The following is a 16,756-nucleotide window of genomic DNA, read 5'->3' as shown; positions in this document are numbered from 1 at the left end:
AGCCCAGCTCCAGGAAGTGGATTCACACTAGTATTTTTATACTTGGTTAGAGCTGAGGATGCCTGTACCTCGCTTCCGTCCACACCCCTCCCACTCTCTGGATGCTAAAGATACATTCTGGGGCCTGCCTCGCCCCCACAGACCAGGATCCAGCTCTGCTGAGGCTCCCCACAAAACCCCAGAAGCTCTGCAGGCATGCAGGGTGGGAGGGCTGCCTATCTGAGCCAGAAGGGGCTTTTGCCTTTGGGGGCATCAGGCTACAGGTACTTCTTTCTGCTCAGGTTGCAGGAAGCATGAGAGCACCCAGGAGAGTTGCTCCCTGTAGCTCAGGACCCAGGGAGCTAACAGTCTCCATTTCATCCTGCCTTCAAAACTTCAGCGCTCCCAGCCCCAAAACACTCTTGATGCAGGAAAGGTGAGCCCAGAAATTGGGGTTTAGCACAGGAGGGCTTTTGGCTTCACCCAGGAAAGAATTCAAGGGCGAGTCGGTGGTATTAGAGAGCAACTTTTATTTAAGCAGCTGTGCACAGTGGCAGCAGAGGTACTGCTCCTTATGGAGCAGGGATGCCCCATAGGCAGTCAGCCCAGAGTAGCAGCTCAGAGGCAGTTCTGCACACATATTTATACCCACTTGTAACTATATACAAATTAAGGAGGAGGTTATTTAGAAATTTCTAGAAAAGGGGTGGTAACTTTCAGGTCATTGCCATGGAAAGGGGCAGTAATTTCCAGCTGTTACCATGAGAACGGCAAACTCACTTGGCACCAGTGGGTGTGTCTTATGGAGGGGTGCTTTTGCCTGTTTCAGCTAGTCTGTAATCTGGTCCAGAGTTCAAGCCCTGCCTCAGGAGTCAGGTCCCACCTCCTATCTCAGTCTGGTCACAGCCCTAACTAGGCAGATGATCCCAATGTCAGCCCAAAGCCCAGCAGTCAGGCCCTCCTGTGATCTGCCTGGGGCACCCAGGAAGGGGATGGGGCATGCTGGGATGGGCCATGATGTGTTGGGCCAGAAGTCAGGCCCTCTAGGTTGAAGTCCTAACCCCAGTAGCTGTGAATGTGACCTTATATGGAAACAGTGTCTTTGCAGATGATCAAGTTAAGATTAAATCGTTAGGGCCAGCCTTAATTCACTATTATTGTGATTTTAAAAAGGGGAAATTTGGACACAGAAATGCACACAAGGAAAAATCCCTGTAAAGACTGGAACTTTGGCCAGGCACGGTGGCTCATGCCTGTAATCCCAACACTTTGGGAGGCAGAGACAGACGGATCACTTGATATCAGGAGTTTGAGACCAGCCTGGCCAACATAGCGAAACACCGTCTCTACTAAAAATACAAAAACTAGCCAGGCGTGGTAGCAGGTGCCTGTAATCACAGCTACTCCAAAGGCTGAGGCAGAAGAATTGCTTGAACCTGGGAGGAGGAGGTTGCAGTGAGCCGAGATTGTGCCATTGCACTCCAGCCTGGGCAACAAGAGCAAAACTCCGTCACAAAAACAAAACAAAAGAAAGATTACAGCTTTGGTGTCACAAGCCAAGAAACTAACAGAAGCTGAAGAGAGGCCTGAAACTAATCCTTCCCTAGTGCCTTCAGAGGGAGCATGGCCCTGCTGAGAGAGTATAAATGGGACTCGGCCCACCCCCACTAACGTATTGTTCCATACGTGCCCGCTGACCACTAGACCTTGCAGCACCACCCTCCAGGTGCCATACTCGCTGGCCAGACCTTGCCAACTGTCTGAAATAAACTAAGATAAGCAGCATCCCGCCATAAGTCTTACTGACGGGAGTTGACTCCATCACCTGCTTGTGCACAAGGCCAGGAGAATGACCCTGGTCTTATGATAATACTAAAGTCCTCACCCAGGGAGGGGCTTATCTGCCATTTTCTGATCATGCAACGTATGTGTTAGCATGCGTCTGAGCACCCTTCGCTCCACCCCATATGTGCAATGACACTCATGTAGCTCATAAATTATGTATGTCACCCTCCTTAAGACACCACAATGCATTCCCCTTGGGGAGTCAGCCAAGAATTCTTCCTCCTGCACCGTCTCTCTTCTGCCCAAACTTTCGGGGCATAAGACTTAATAAAGTCTTGTCTGGGAAGCTTCCTTGGCCTAATATCAACTTCTGTTTCATGGGAGCCCAAGAACATGTGGTTGGGAACACTGCCAACATCTTTATTTCCAACTTCTGGACTTCAGAATTGTGAGACAACAAATCTCTGTGGTTCTAAGCTAACCATTTTGTGGCACTTTGTTACGACAGCCCTAGGAAACAAACGCAGGCACGTTCTGCTCCAACTGCCACTCTCTCCAGACCACAGCTCCTCCACAAGCCCACCCCATGAGAGGCTGAGGACAGAAGCAGGACCCTTCACAGGCCACCATCACTGCTGGATGGTCACCCCCAGCACTGACTGTCTGGAAGCTCCAGGCTCAGCTCTCAGTTTCCTGGAGCAAGGGGGAGGATGAGGACAAGGAGGAACGAGGGCACTGGCCTCCCAGGAATTGTCCCTGAGCCTCCATCCTGCTGTCCTGAAGCTGCCCCTGAACCTCCAACTTGCTGTCCCCAGAACTGTCATTGAGCCTACACCATGCTATCTCTAGAGCCCGGAAAGCCCAGGGCTGGACAAACCCCACCCCTCACTCCTCCTCTGGCCCCTTCTCCCAGCCATCAACACTTTGGAACAGCCATCAAGCCCCTTTTAATCTCTAGAAAGGTGCCTCAGTAAGGCACAGAGAGGTCACACCAGGTGGTCATGGTGCCTTACCTGTGTCCACTGGGCCCAGGCTGGCCCTTTAAGGGTATGAGGGCAGAACAGCTGAGAGACCACACCCCACTTCTCAGAGAGGTCAGGGATAAAGAAAAGGGACAATGGAAGGAAGAACTTGTGGCCAGGATGCTGAGGGTAGAGGCTGCTCCCCACAGGCACTGAGCAGAGGGGTTGAGGGGGGAGCCTCCAGCCTCCATCCAGACAGGACCTCTGACCGCTGCTAGGGGCCCCTTCTCAGGAGGTTCAGTCTCAGACAAGGGCTCCAGAAACTTCAGTCCATTTTCCCAAAATGGACATGATGCATCTGGCGAGTCAGGGACCTAGAATGTCCAGGACCGAGCCTTGCTGAGGACAGAAGGGAGCAACATGCCCTGGAGGTCCTCATGCAGCCCAGGCCTCTGGCAGTGACCAGCCAGCACCCAGGCAACTCCTTGCTGGGTCTCCAGGCCCTGATGGTCACAAGAAAGGCCACAGGCCAGGGCTGGGATGGGCCCAGAGCTCTGTGTGTTTCCTGGGAGGGCTGAGAGGTGCCATCCCCCATAGCAGCCCAAGGCACAGTAGTTGTTGTTGTTGCTGCTGCTGCTGCTGCTGCTGCTCCTGCTGCCCTCTGAGTCTGGGGGAGCCGGCCTAGTCAGGGACGTGGGGGCCCAGTCCTCCTGTGGCAGATAGGCAAGCGTCTGTACCCTCCACTCCGTACACCCTGCTGGCAGCACATCCTCTGAGCTCAGGTTCCCCGGGAGCCTGGTCCCAGGGCCCTCCTGTTCCTCCTCCAGGGCCACAGATTTCCAAGGACGCGCTGGGCCACAAGTGAGCAGTGCAGTGGCCTCCTGGACGCAGGGCTCCAAGGCTCCCTGTGGGGTGCCAGCACAGTCCTGGCTCAACAGCACACCGGCCCCGTGGGCCCCCATCCAAGTCTGGAACAGAGCACGGGAGGAGGGAAGGGCTCAGGTAGCATGTTCAGAACTCATCCTGGGAGCAGCTGCCTCCTTTCTGGCAAGCCCAGCATCCCTCCTCCTCCAGGAAGCCCTCCTGAGGTCCACACCCAGAGGCCAAGCAGCGCCTGTGTCTTGGACATTCTGTCTTTCCTCCATGTGCCAGCCCAGCCTCATCACGGGACCCTGAGTCCCTTCAGGCTCCTCAGCACTCCCCCAGCACAGGGCCTGGTGCCCACGGCAGCCTGAACCGAGGTACAGATGGTGATATCTGCCCAGGACAGAGCCAGCTCCTGACAGCATGTGCCTCAGGGCCTTTCAGCAGCTGCAGAGACTGGGCATTCCCAACACACACACACACACACACAAACATACACAAACACACACACACACAGAGACACACACACACACAAACACACACAGATACACACAGACACACACACACGAGACACACACACACAAACACACACAGACATAAACACACACAGACACACACACATAAACACACACACACACAGACATACACACACAAACACACACACACAGACACACACACCACACGAACACACACAGACACATAAACACACACAGACACATACACACACAGACACACAGACACACACAGACATACACACATAAACACAAACACACACACACAAACACACACACAAACATACACAGACACATAAACACACACACAGACACACACACACAAACACACACAGACACACACACAAACACACACAGACACAAACACACACAGATACAGACACACACACAGAGACACACACACACAAACACACACAGACTTAAACACACACAGACACACACACATAAACACACACACACAGACATACACACACAAACACACACACAGACACACACACGAACACACACAGACACATAAACACACACACACACACACACAGACACACACACGAATCGCTGTCAGGACTGGTGACTTTCAAAGCACTCGGCTATGGCCAGCAGACCTGGATCCTTCTGTGGGGCCACAGGAGGCCCCCGCCTCCAAAAGGAAGCTGTTCCCTTGGTGGGACCAGGAGCCTCCATCCCATGCATCACACACACAACACCCTCCATCACTGCAGTGCTCCCTGGAGACCAACCTATGGCACCAGATCCTCACCCGCAGGTCTAAATAACCCGTGGCAGGTGTCCTAGTTCTCTAGGGAACAGCTGGTGCCCGCAACAGGATGACAGTCCAGGGGACAGTCACAATCTGACCTGCTCAGCCTTGTCGTCAGCTGCCCAGGCTCCTGACAGTCACATCTACCACCTTGGGGAAAGAGGGAGACTCTGCCAAGAGCCAGATGCCCGGTTCATGGTTCAAATTATATTTTTGGACAAAAATCTTGAAAACTACGCTCCTCATTGAGAGAGAAAAGGATTTTTCTGCATAGTAAGCTGGAGCCACAGTGTGAAGGGGACAGGGAGGGAAGATTCTGGAGAAGAGTGGTCAGCTTGGCCCAGACCCCAGGGAGGGGCCCTCACTGCCTCTTGTCCTTTGCCCAAAGTGAGGAGTCTGAGGGGAAAAACCAGAGACCACTCACTGGAGCTCTCCCTCTCCCCCTCCTCCCACCCAGGGGGCATGAACCAACAGCCCAGCAGGGAGGGGAGGGGCTGATGCAACCCCCAAGTTGCTCACTGGTGCCTGGGCTGTAGGAGCCCAACATGGGTGGAAGGGGGGGAAGTGCAGAGCCCACTCCTCAGCTGTGGTGCCATCATGTGATCCGGGGAGACCAGGGGACCAGGCAGAGCAGGAGCCCAGAGGCAGTGAGAGCCCCAAGGGCAGCACACACACCACAGACCCTTCCCCATGGCCACAGGACAGACACCTTCGCAGAAGGAGGAGGTGAGGCACATGGTGGGTGCAGAAAGCTGCAAACCAGAGGGGACAGAGATAAGTTATGAGAAATTTACATTTTTTCAATCAACAATGGAACTAGAGACCTGAGAACAAAAAGAAATCAGCAATGGAAAATAAAGCTAATTTTTCCCCATTTGAGATACGCGTATAAATTGAAATTCACTGAATATACAAAAAAGGCTCCAAGCACTGACAAGCCTCCCATACTGGCCGCCAACCCTCAGTGAAAGCCAACATCTTGGGCAGGCCAGAGCTCTGGGCAACCCCTGCCCCCCATGTCCTTCTGTGGTCTCTGCACACACCTGGAAGTTCCCATTGTGTACACTGTAGAGGGGCTGGAAGAACATCGCTGGAGAGGGCACGTTCTGGTAGAAGATTCTCTTCACCCTGAGGCCAAGAGAGGCCAGTCAGAGGCCTATGGCGACCCAGGTGGCCTGAGGTCACTGCAGAGGCTGAGCTTCCTTCCATCAGCAGGAGGTCCGCCCACCTCGTCCCTGCCACTGCCTCTCTCCCATCTCATCACATTCCAACCCACTCTCAGGGCAGGACCCAACTGGGCCTCCTTGCCTAACGGCCGCATAGAACTGATTTATACTGAGGCGCGCGTCCTTTACAGCGTGAGCTGCGATGGCGGGTTCAGAACGGGGAGTTACTAGCTGGGTCCTCAGATCACAGAGGGAGCCAGCACTCCAGGAACCCTGTCTTTGCCATCAGCAGAAGGTCTGTGGCTCCCACCCCACCCAGTGTCTCCCTGAGCACCAGACTTGCTGCCAAGGATCCACTGACCCTCCCACAAGGATGTCACCTGGGGCTCCAACCCAACAGGTCCAAATAGACTTCACCAACCTCCCTGCAAGGCTGTCCCCCATTTCCCCACCTCAGGGGTCACCACTCATATCTCATCCACCCACATGTCCCTTCTATTTCCCCTCATGAGACCCTGCAATTCTCTCCACTTTTCTCTATCTCCACTTCTTTCACTGGCTCATGCCAAATCGTCTCCCTGTGGGCACCTCACTGGCCCCCATTGGCCTCCAGCAGGTCCCCCATGTCCCCTTGTCCCAGCAATCTATTCCTCAAAACATAAACTAGGTTGTGTCACACAGTTTTACACTTTCCTTTGCTCCAAGGAGAAGCGAAGCACCCTCCCACTTAGCCCCACCCAACACCCCTCTCCCCACACCCTCTTCCTCACATCTGCGGCCTGACATGGCCCCTGCACCCTGTCTTGTAACCTGACATGTGGTGCATGAGGCGTGACGGTTTATTTAAGGAGGGCCCTTGTCCATCTTGTTCTGAGAACAGGGTCCTGAGCACACCAGATGCCCCAACTGTCCTTTCGTAGAACATGTGAACAAATGAACAAACCAAGCTCCTCCAGAGGCAGGAGACTAGGACCTCCGGCTCTTGATCTCGGTGACTCTGGGTCTGGTCGGGACCAAGCTGCCCTTATCTTCAGCCTCTGCCTCAGACCCCCCTTCCCTGCTCTCCCCTGGCAACTTGAGAACCCTCTTCTGGACCAGGGTGGAGACTCGAAAAGCCCACCCCGTCCAGGACCAGGCAGTGGAGAGGGGAGGGGAGGAACCAGACAAGGGCGGCCCTTGATGGCCCACCCACCACACACTCACACATGCACACAGTCACACATCTGCACACATACACTAACATGCACACTCTTGCCCGCTCACACATGTACACACACGCACACATCAGCCACCTACCTGGGCGACAGCTTGAACAGGAGGTAGGTCGGGCCAGTCAGCAGGAGAAAGATGGACACAGCAACAAGGGTGTTGCCTGGCCACCCCCAGGGTGGGATCAGAGGGCCTGTGGACAGGAAGGGCCCAGGGCTGTGAGCAGCCTCAGTGCCAGGAGGCTCCCCCCAAACCCACCTGGCAAAGGTGCGCCCTTTAGTGCCCTGGGCCAAAGTGGAAGGTTTGTGATGGGCCTTGGAGGTTTGTGTCACCTGCTGAAGGACCTTGTGATGGGCCTTGGAGGTTTGTGTCACCTGCTGAAGGACCTTGTGTGAACCACACTCCTGGGCCTCACTCTTCCCATCTGCCACAAGGTGGGTCATAAAGTCCCTGGGCCATCTCAGCACTGCAGTGCGCAAGGGTCAGTCCAGCCCCCATTAAGGACACTGAGGTCATGTCCAGCCTCCAGGCAGGAGCCCAGCCCTGGTGTGCAGCCCTGCCACCCTCACTCCTAACAGCAGCCACTAACTACAGGTTCCCAGGAAGCCCCAGAGTTGGCAGGTGTTTCTGTCCTCCCTACAGACCTCAGACCTTCAGAGGAAGGGGGTCAACTGAGGCATGGCTGCCTCGGGGAGGGGCTTACAGGAGGGTGAAAGGGTGCAGGGCTGAGGTGAACAGGGGAGAAGACGCCCAGCCCAGACTCCGCTGGAAGTGCAGCAGCCACAGCAGTGCCCACCTTGTCTCTGGGGAGCCTGGAAGCACACAGGCTGGCTCCACTCACTCCACTGGCCTGTATAACGCTCCTCCTCTACCACATCATCCTCCAGTGTGGCCATCTGGACACGCAGCCTGGCCTCATGGATAAAGCCAGGGTCCAGCTCAAAGGCTTCAAGTATAAGCCAGGTCACCCCGACAATGTGATCCCTGTGCTGGGCCTGCTGTGGGGGTGGGGACAGTTAGCAGGTGGTGAAGGTGGGGCTGGGTCCCTCAGCCCTCGAGAATACACACATGCATTATATGCTCATATAACACACTCTTGAACACACTTGTGTTAACACACAGACACACTCACCACATTCACGTGCACACACACACACAGAAGGCACACTCACACTCACAGACACAGCTGCGTTTGCCCACAAATACACATATGCACACACAGGCAAACATGTCTACAGGAACACTTTCACACTCATCACACTTGCATGCACACTCATAAACAAAAGTGTGTGCACAGAAGCAACTCACCACACTCACATACACACTCATACACATAGGCATGCCCATGTGCACACTCACACAAATGCAAGGCACAGGCACACACATATGTACACTTACATATAAACACACAAACATGGGCACACAAACATGAGTGTGCACAGTTACATATGTGTACACATAAACACATACATGCACACTCACCACACTTATGTGCACACACAGAGACACAGGCGCACTCACCCTACTCCCATACACACACATAAAGCATACACATCTGCATGCCAGCATGTGTGTGTGCACACACACCCCGCTCTAGTTCCTCCCTTCTCATCACTACAAGTTGACATCTCCCTATGTAGAGTGGGGAGTCTACCCTGGACTGCTGTTCCCAGGAGAGAGGCCCCCAGGGAAAGCCAGCCAAAGTGTTACCTCCCAGGCCTCTTCCTGCTTCTTGAAGGCCAGCTCATAGCTGAGAAGTGTGGTCATTGGCTCCAAGGCAGGACTGATGCTCCAGGTCAGGATGCAGTGGCCAGAACTGATGTTGCTCTGCAAGTCAGAGGGCGGGTCCAGCTTAACTGGAACAGAGTGAATCCATGTGAGGCTGAAGCCCCATGGGTCTGGGTGTGTCAGTCAGAACACACAAGACTGGGGTCTGAAAGACTCCCAAGGGGAATGGTCAAGGCCCTCTCAGACCAGGCACCTCACTGGGAGACTGGTCCACAAAAGCCCCAGGCGGGACAGGACAGCAATGACTTCCTCTGGCCTCTGCACCTAGACTAGGTGGTTTCTAAATCTTGCTTTCCCTTTCCTTCACAGTCTGCTGCTGGAAGCTTTTCCCAGCATCTTATTGGAGTCCTTCCTGGTATGACTGAAGTGCATTTCACATGACTCAAGTGCCAGCCCCTGCCCCAACTAGCAGCCGTGCATGTTTATTTCCTGCCAAAACCCTGCCCCTGCAGTAACCATATGGGCCCTCCCCTCCCAAGGGCCAAGCCTGCCCCCAGCCCTGGATCTCACTCGGCTGGGACTGAGAACACTCACTGGGCCACTCACAGGCTGCAAGGCCCTGCTCCAAACCCCCAAGCAGCCAGGATGTTCTTGCCAAGCGGCCCCGCCCCAGACCTATAGCTGCTGCTCACCGTGTCTCCGGGGCAGGTACTCCGGGTCCACCAGGCTGACCTGCTCCCTCCCAGACATGCAGTGGTGGAAAGTGATGGTGAAATTGTCAGATGGCACGAGCACTGCCTCAGGTGGCAGCACGACGGTGCACTCACTGCCCCGCAAGATGCACTTATGTGTGCCGCCAGGAGCCTGGTTGCTGGAAAGGGCATTTGTCAGCACCACGGGGCTGCTACACTGTCCTGGCATAGCTGCTTCAATCCTGGGGAACTCACCCTCATCCCTGTCCAGGTGGGCATGGCCCTCCATGCTCACCTGGTGAAGAGGAGCCAGGGGCTGGAGCCCTGTCCCAGCTCTGGGGCAGACCAGTGGCAATCGATCCTGAGAATGTTGTTGGTGAGGCAGGTGAAGGTTCTAGACCTTGGCCCTGGAGACAGTGACCATCAGGAGCCCACGGTAAGTACTTCAGGCCAGAGCTGAGCTCGGGGGTTGGGGAGGATCTGACAGCTGACACCCTAGCAGGGCAGTCACCAGTAAATGATCCCAGAATCTGTCCAGGGAAGCACTGGGAGGCCTGGGAAGTGATGGGCTCTGACCTGTGGTACACGGGCAAGTCAGATCTGGAGAGGCGTCAAGAGAGTGAAGGAAGGGAGACTACAGTCGGTCCAGGGAATGAAGGTAGGGAGGTAAAAGTAGGGAGACTAGAGACTGAGGTCCAGGCTGACCCCTAGAGGACATGCCCCAGCACAGTTTGGGCCAAACCTTTCCCTAGAGGCTTGACATCGGACAACCCAGTCCCCCAAACATGCCCTAGTTCTCCACCCACCTCATACAGACATTAGTGCCCAGCCCTCACCTTGTCCTTCCCCTGTGACAGAGACTCCCAAGCAGACACAGGTGCAGATGCAGATGCAGGCCAGGAGCCAGGTGCCCATGTCTCGCCTCAGGGCCTCACTCTCCAAGGTCCAGCCTGCAAGGGACTGGGCTGAGGGCCCTGTGCAAATCATCCCTCTCTGGAGGGGTGCTCCCCATGAATTGCTCCCCAGCAGAGTGCTCCATGGGTCCCCACCTGCACTCACACAGTGTCCTGTGTCCTAACACTCACACAGTGTCCAGCGTCCTGGACCACTGTCCAGGCTTTACTGATAAGGAACTGAGCTCAGAAAGGCCATTTGACTCAGCCAAAGACTCATGGCTGCAGGGTGTAAGGAACACCCTCAAACTTAGATCCTGGCCTCTGACTCAGCTAGGTCTCCACATCTGCCGAGAAGACTCCTCTCTGGGACAGTCATCCTCTGCCAGCCCATCCCCCATTCCCGGGCCCAGGCCCCATCCTGCAGGGGAGTCAGGGTTGGGGGAACTGGTCACTACCAACAACCACCATAGGTACATTTTCTACTTTAATTCTCACAACAGCTCTGTAAGGGAGAAGCACTGTCCCCGTTCACAGGCAAGGAACTGAGTCCCAAGGAGGGGAAATGACTTGCCCAGGGTCACACAGACAAATTCTAAGCAAATTTTTTTTTTTGAGACAGTCTCCCTCTGTCACCCAGGCTAGAGTGCAGTGGTGTGATCTTGGCTCACTGCAACCTCCGCCTCCTGGGTTCAAGTGATTATCCTGCCTCAGCCTCCCGAGTAGCTGGGATTACAGGCATCTCCCGCCATGCCCAGCTAATTTTTTTTTTTTTGTATTTTTAGTAGAGACGGGGTTTCACCATGTTGGCCAGGCTAGTCTTGACCTCCTGACCTCAAGGGATCCACCTGCCTTGGCCTCCCAAAGTGTTGGGATTACAGGCGTGAGCACCAGACCCAGCCTCTATGCATTCTCTCTCCCTTTTGTCCTCTTAAATAAAGACCCATCCAACTGTTCTGCCCCAGAAAGGTGGACGAGGGTGGCAGCAGGGTATCCATGCAACAGATGGCACTTTCTGAACTCTGTTGCACCCCTGTTCCAAGGCACCTGCAAAGAAGAGCAACACCAGAAGGGCAAAGCCCCCGGATGCTGGAGCGTGAGGCCTGAGCCCCAGGATCCCTAGGGGAGCCAGAGGTTGGCTAGAGATGAGGGGCTGGGTGTCAGGAAGTGCTTGGGTGTGGGAAGGCCGCTGACGCCCTATCACCCCATTTGCAACTCCAGATGGTACACCGATAGCCCCTAGGCAGGAAGCAGGGCCAGCCTGGTTATACAAGACTGATTACTGATAGGAGGAGGAAAAAACCAGACACGCACACAGACTTACAGCCTTAAAGGACCGCACAAACCAATGGGCAGCAGGCACTACTCTAACCCCACTCTGCCCCACTCCCGGCAGCGTATACAGGTACCCATAGGACAGTCCCCTGTTAAGACTGATGATCAGGAAGCCTCACCCTTTCCTAGAATGGAGCGTGCAGCCTGGAACCACCAGCCACAGCATGAAACACCGTGGCAAGTTCTCTGCAGCAGTGTCTGTCCGTTCTTGCAGCAGTTACTGGAAAGGTGGGAATGGGGAAGGCAGTCAGCCTGCTCTTGGGATATGTGAGGGCAGGGTTGGAGTCACCACCAGGACCTGGGGAAGCACAGGCACAACGGCCACAGCTGAGAGCTGACCCAGGCCCCAGAATGGACAACTGCTGCCCCAGCAGTGGAGAAACACCCACATCTATGTAGAATCAGGCCAGGCCAGCCACAGGCTAACCCAGGAGCAGACGGCTTGAGAGCAGGGAGTGGGATGGCTCCAAGCTCAGCAGGCCTCGTTTCTAGACAGGGAAGGGGGATGGTAGGGCAGGATCCACATGTGACACCTGAGAGCTACAAAGTAGGACCGGAGAGTTGGGTACAGCGACAAGGGGGTATGGCCATCTGAGGGGAAGTTCTCTGCTTTTCCTCTGCACTGAAAACTTACATCTGTACCTGGTAAGCTGAGCAGGGCAGGGTCACCACCCTCCTACAGATGAAGAAACTGAGGCTCAGAGACCTGGGACCTGCCCAATACCTGGCTCCTGACACCTCTCTTCTTGGCCCATTCCCACCAGCTTCCACATAAGCCTGTGAACTTCCCGAGGGCAGTGCCTGCGAGGCACCACTCAGCACATGCCCCAGCAGAAGGCACCACAGTGCTTTATAAATGGGGTGGAGCTGCAGGCAGAGCTGCCTTCCCCCATCCTTGACCACAGGGCCAGGCAGTCAGGGCAGATGCATACACCCTTACTCACAGGCTCCCTGCTCCTGAATGTCACCAGGGAAGCCTCACCACAGCTCAGACAACACCTGGTAACAGGCCGGTTGTGAGAGCAGGAGGGGAAACCAGTGTCTGCCACCTGGGACAGAGCTGCCCCTGACACCCCCAGTCCCGCTGGGGAGCCTGGCTGACATCACTGCCCAGCACAGCCTATCCCGCCTTGGATCTGTGGACATAGCCTTCAGCCCATGATCACTTTGGTCTGTTCTCAGAGCCCCACCCATTCCATGGCCTCAGTGTCAAAGTCTGGCCCAGATGCCTACTAGGCCTCATAGCCTGCCTGCCCTGCTTCCCTGGGCCACTGTGAAGCTGTGGGCTGCCCTGCCCTCACCTTTCCTGAACACTCACCTAATACAGAGCAGGCCACCATCATGGAGGCAGTCCAGGCAGCCCTGAGCATCTCTGTGCCTCCAAGCACACTCTCCAAGTTGCCCTCACACCAGTTACTGCATCCACTTACTGTTACACAGAGACTATTATGCATATATATATGTGTGTATATATATATATATTTTTTTTTTTTAGACGGAGTCTCGCTCTGTCGCTCAGGCTGGAACACAGTGGCGTGATCTCGGCTCACTGCAACCTCTGCCTCCCGAGTTCAAGTGATCCTCCTGCTTCAGCCTCCCAAGTAGCTGGGATTACAAGCATTTACAAGCATGAGTCACCACGCCTGGCTAATTTTTGTATTTTTAGTAGACACAGGGTTTCACCATGTTTGTCAGGCTGGTCTCGTACTCCTGGCCTCAAGTGATTCACCTGCTTTGGCCTCCCAAAGTGCTGGGATGTCAGGCATGAGCCAACATGCCTGGCCATATTTTGTCTTTTTTAATGGGGGCGGGGAAGGGTCTGGTTCTTCTGGACCATTCAGGAGGCTGGCAGCCTCAGAAGTTACTATTGAAGTGGACACCTGTCCAGCAAGGTCTTCTGTCTGCTGGGGGAAGAGGAAGAAATGCAGACCTTGGTACCCCAGAAGCAGCTGGAGCCTGGGGACATGGAGCCTGTGCCAGAAAATGGTGCTGGAAATGGGAGCAGGGGCCAGCTCCCTCTCTGGACCACATGAGGACTTCCTTCAGCACAGTGGGAATCCCCAATGCTGTTGGGCACAGAGTATGTAAGGTGCTGACAGGGGTAGGGATGGGCAGGAGGCAGGAGGGATGGGGTCTGAAAGGCCAGCTGGAGGCAAGTACAGAGACAACAGACACCTCATAGAGAAGGTGCAGGGAAGGCAGGGTGGGAGAGAGATGGCACCAAGAAGCATTTCCCACACACTTTCAGAGAAGAGGATGAGGGGCAGTGCTGCATCCGTGAGGTAAATGCCTGTGGGAACGCTGGGCCACAGCTCAGGAAGAAGTCAGGGCTGGACTTGGCACTGCAGAGGTGTTGGGTGGACAAGGGCACATACCCAGGGCAGAGGGGAGTAGGCAAGGGTGGGTGGGAGAAGTACAGAGAGGCGTGGAGGAGACCCCTGCTGCTCTGCTTCCCACTGTCCCCTCTGCCATCTTCCCTCCCCATCACAGGCCTGGTCCTTCATGAGGCCTTTCCCCAGTCCCCTAGTAGGCCTCCTTAGCTGGACGGAACCCCTGAGCCTGAGCACAGGCAACTCTCCTTCTGCACAGCCCTGAACTGACAGGGCCCAAGGGTTGAGCAGTGGCCATGGGCCAGGGCTGGAGTGAGGATATTGGCACAGTCCCCTGGGAGTCTGGAGGTGAGACGGGAAAATGATGTCCGTGCTCTTCCTGCTGTCTTGGTGAAGAGGTACCCACGTCGCCTGCTCTGCCCAAAACACCCCTCCCACAGCCTTGCTGCCCCACTGCAGTTGAAGGTCATCACTGTGCGTTGTCCCTACATGAGGCTCCTGGAGGCAAGACCCTGTTTGATCATGTTGCATCCCCTGCACCCAACTCAACCGTTTGATAAATGTTTTCCAACCCCCGCCCCACCTGCAGAGGCTGCCCTTGCTTCTGGACGGTGTTCATGTTGTGGGTACCCAGGAGCGGGGCTCTGGGATGCTACTTGAAGACACGCTGAGAGGATACCCACTCTTGATACTGTCTCAAACTCTGTCTCAAAAAAAAATTAATAATAATTAAAACGCCTGCCCTGCCTGTCAGCTGTAGCGTGACAGCTCTGGGAAGAGGGTGAGCCCAGAACAGCATAAATCACAGGAAGAGAAAATGGGGGCAGGGAGGGGAGAGGAGGATCCAAGCAGGGCCCACATCCTCCAGCTCATCACAAGAACAGGCTATCCAGACCCCAGGAAACTGAGAGGGTGATGTTCTTTCCAAAACAAACCCTCTCCTCCCCTTCCTCTGCTTGGCTGGGTTGACCCTCCCTCTGGAATCCCACCCTCACCTGCTGCCCCACACACAGCTCCAGTGGGGCATACCCATCCTCCTGGCTCCTCTTCTGCCCTAAAACACCCAAATGCCTCGGGGTTGGTAGAAGCTTTCCCAGCCCTGGGCCTAGACCTCAGCTCCACCCCATGGCCATCACAACTGAGGCCCAAGTATGCCCATTCTCACCCCACAAAGGCACCCCCACAAAGGTCAGTTCAATCACTGAGGAAGCAGAGTTCCTTCCATAATTAGAAATTCTGCCTGACAAACTCAGTGCCACACTGGCCACAGCAGAACCCATGACCCCTACAGGACTGGAAATTAGTTTGTAATCCTTGAGGTCAGGGCTGCAAATTTTGCCATCTCTAAGAGATACACAAGGCCAGGACACCAGAGGAGGTAAAGCTAGGGTGGCGCTCTCAAATGCCACAGTGGCTCCCTGGGCCCCGAGTTGGAGGGCCACATGTCCCTCTCTGCCTTCTGAATTTCATGCTGACTTGAGAGGTTGGGAAGCCCAAAGCACAGACTCACCTTCCCAGATGCATCTGCCCAGTCCCATCACAAGTCTGAGGCATCCCCAACCTGGAGGTGATTTGTCACCCAACTATCTCTGGGTGCACAGCAAAGACCCTCAGCCTGATTCAGGAGATAACTGCAGCAGTTGGTGACGTGAGCTTTGCACGACAGGTTCACACAGGCCGCCCACATCTGAAACCACAAGCGCATTACAGAGCTGCTCTCCCGAGCAGAGCTGAGAAGTGTCTGTCACCACTAATCTTCTAAGTCAGGGAACTGTGAGACATGACAACCTTACAGTCCCCATGACATTGAGAACTGCCAGACATGGACTTCAGTGATTTGTCTACTGACTGGCAAGTGAGTGTCCACTGTGTTCTTCCCAAGAAACACCACTGAGATTCATTAAACTGACCCCAGGAGGCAAGAACCTGTGCAGGTGCAGAGCAGTGCCCTTGTCCCCTTCTACACTTTGCCAAAACCAGAGGTGCAGGTTCTCCTTCCACCAGCTAAAGCAACCTGTGAGCATCAGGGGTGGGGAGAGTATTAAATATAAAATTAATGCAGACTCAGTTGAAGAAAAACAATACAGAAGAAAAATTCTTTAACAGGGTCCCCTTTCACCTCCCCCAAGAAGTAGCCACTGTGAGTAGTTAGGCACAAGTCCATGCAGACACTTTTGCTTTTTGGGGATTTTGTTTGTTTGTTTGTTTTCTTTTCTTTTTTGAGATGGAGTCTTGCTCTGTCGCCAGGCTGGAGTGCAGTGGCGTGATCTCGGCTCACTGCAGCCTCCACCTCCTGGTTTCAAGCGATTCCCCTGCCTCAGCCTCCTGAGTAGCTGGGACTACAGGCGTGTGCCATCACACCCGGCTAATTTTTGTATTTTAGTAGAGATGGGGTTTCACCATGTTGGCCAGGATGGTCTCGATCTCCTGACCTTGTGATCCTCCTGCCTAGGCCTCCCAAAGTGCTGGGATTACAGGCGAGAGCCACCTCGCACCCGGTCTTTTTTTTTTTTTTTTTTGACCGAGTCTTACTCTGTCACCCAG

The 16,756-nt window shown here is 54.7% G+C and overlaps 1 protein-coding gene across 13 annotated transcripts; it reads right to left on the bottom strand.

Annotated features, from left to right (window-relative positions):
• Positions 490–15,814, bottom strand: IL9R (interleukin 9 receptor). Of its 13 annotated transcripts, none has more exons than XM_011531155.3 (11): positions 15,723–15,814; positions 12,002–12,102; positions 10,491–10,628; positions 9,950–10,061; positions 9,655–9,833; positions 8,945–9,090; positions 8,031–8,232; positions 7,322–7,427; positions 5,903–5,987; positions 5,379–5,611; positions 2,693–3,694 (listed from the first exon to the last, which is right to left on the bottom strand). In XM_011531155.3, the coding sequence occupies exons 1-11, from the start codon at positions 15,764–15,766 to the stop codon at positions 3,658–3,660; spliced, it is 1,383 nt and encodes a 460-aa protein (XP_011529457.1). In that variant the 5' UTR covers positions 15,767–15,814; the 3' UTR covers positions 2,693–3,657. The 13 variants fall into 13 exon arrangements, with proteins under 13 accessions (XP_047298050.1, XP_011529457.1, XP_047298049.1 ...); XM_047442093.1 differs by having other exon boundaries at positions 8,031–8,229; XM_047442094.1 differs by having other exon boundaries at positions 490–5,611; positions 10,491–10,604.

The sequence above is a fragment of the Homo sapiens genome, chromosome X (genome assembly GCF_000001405.40).
Source record: "Homo sapiens chromosome X, GRCh38.p14 Primary Assembly".
In the NCBI taxonomy this organism is placed as follows: domain Eukaryota; kingdom Metazoa; phylum Chordata; class Mammalia; order Primates; family Hominidae; genus Homo; species Homo sapiens.
This window is presented reverse-complemented; position numbering and strand designations above follow the sequence as displayed.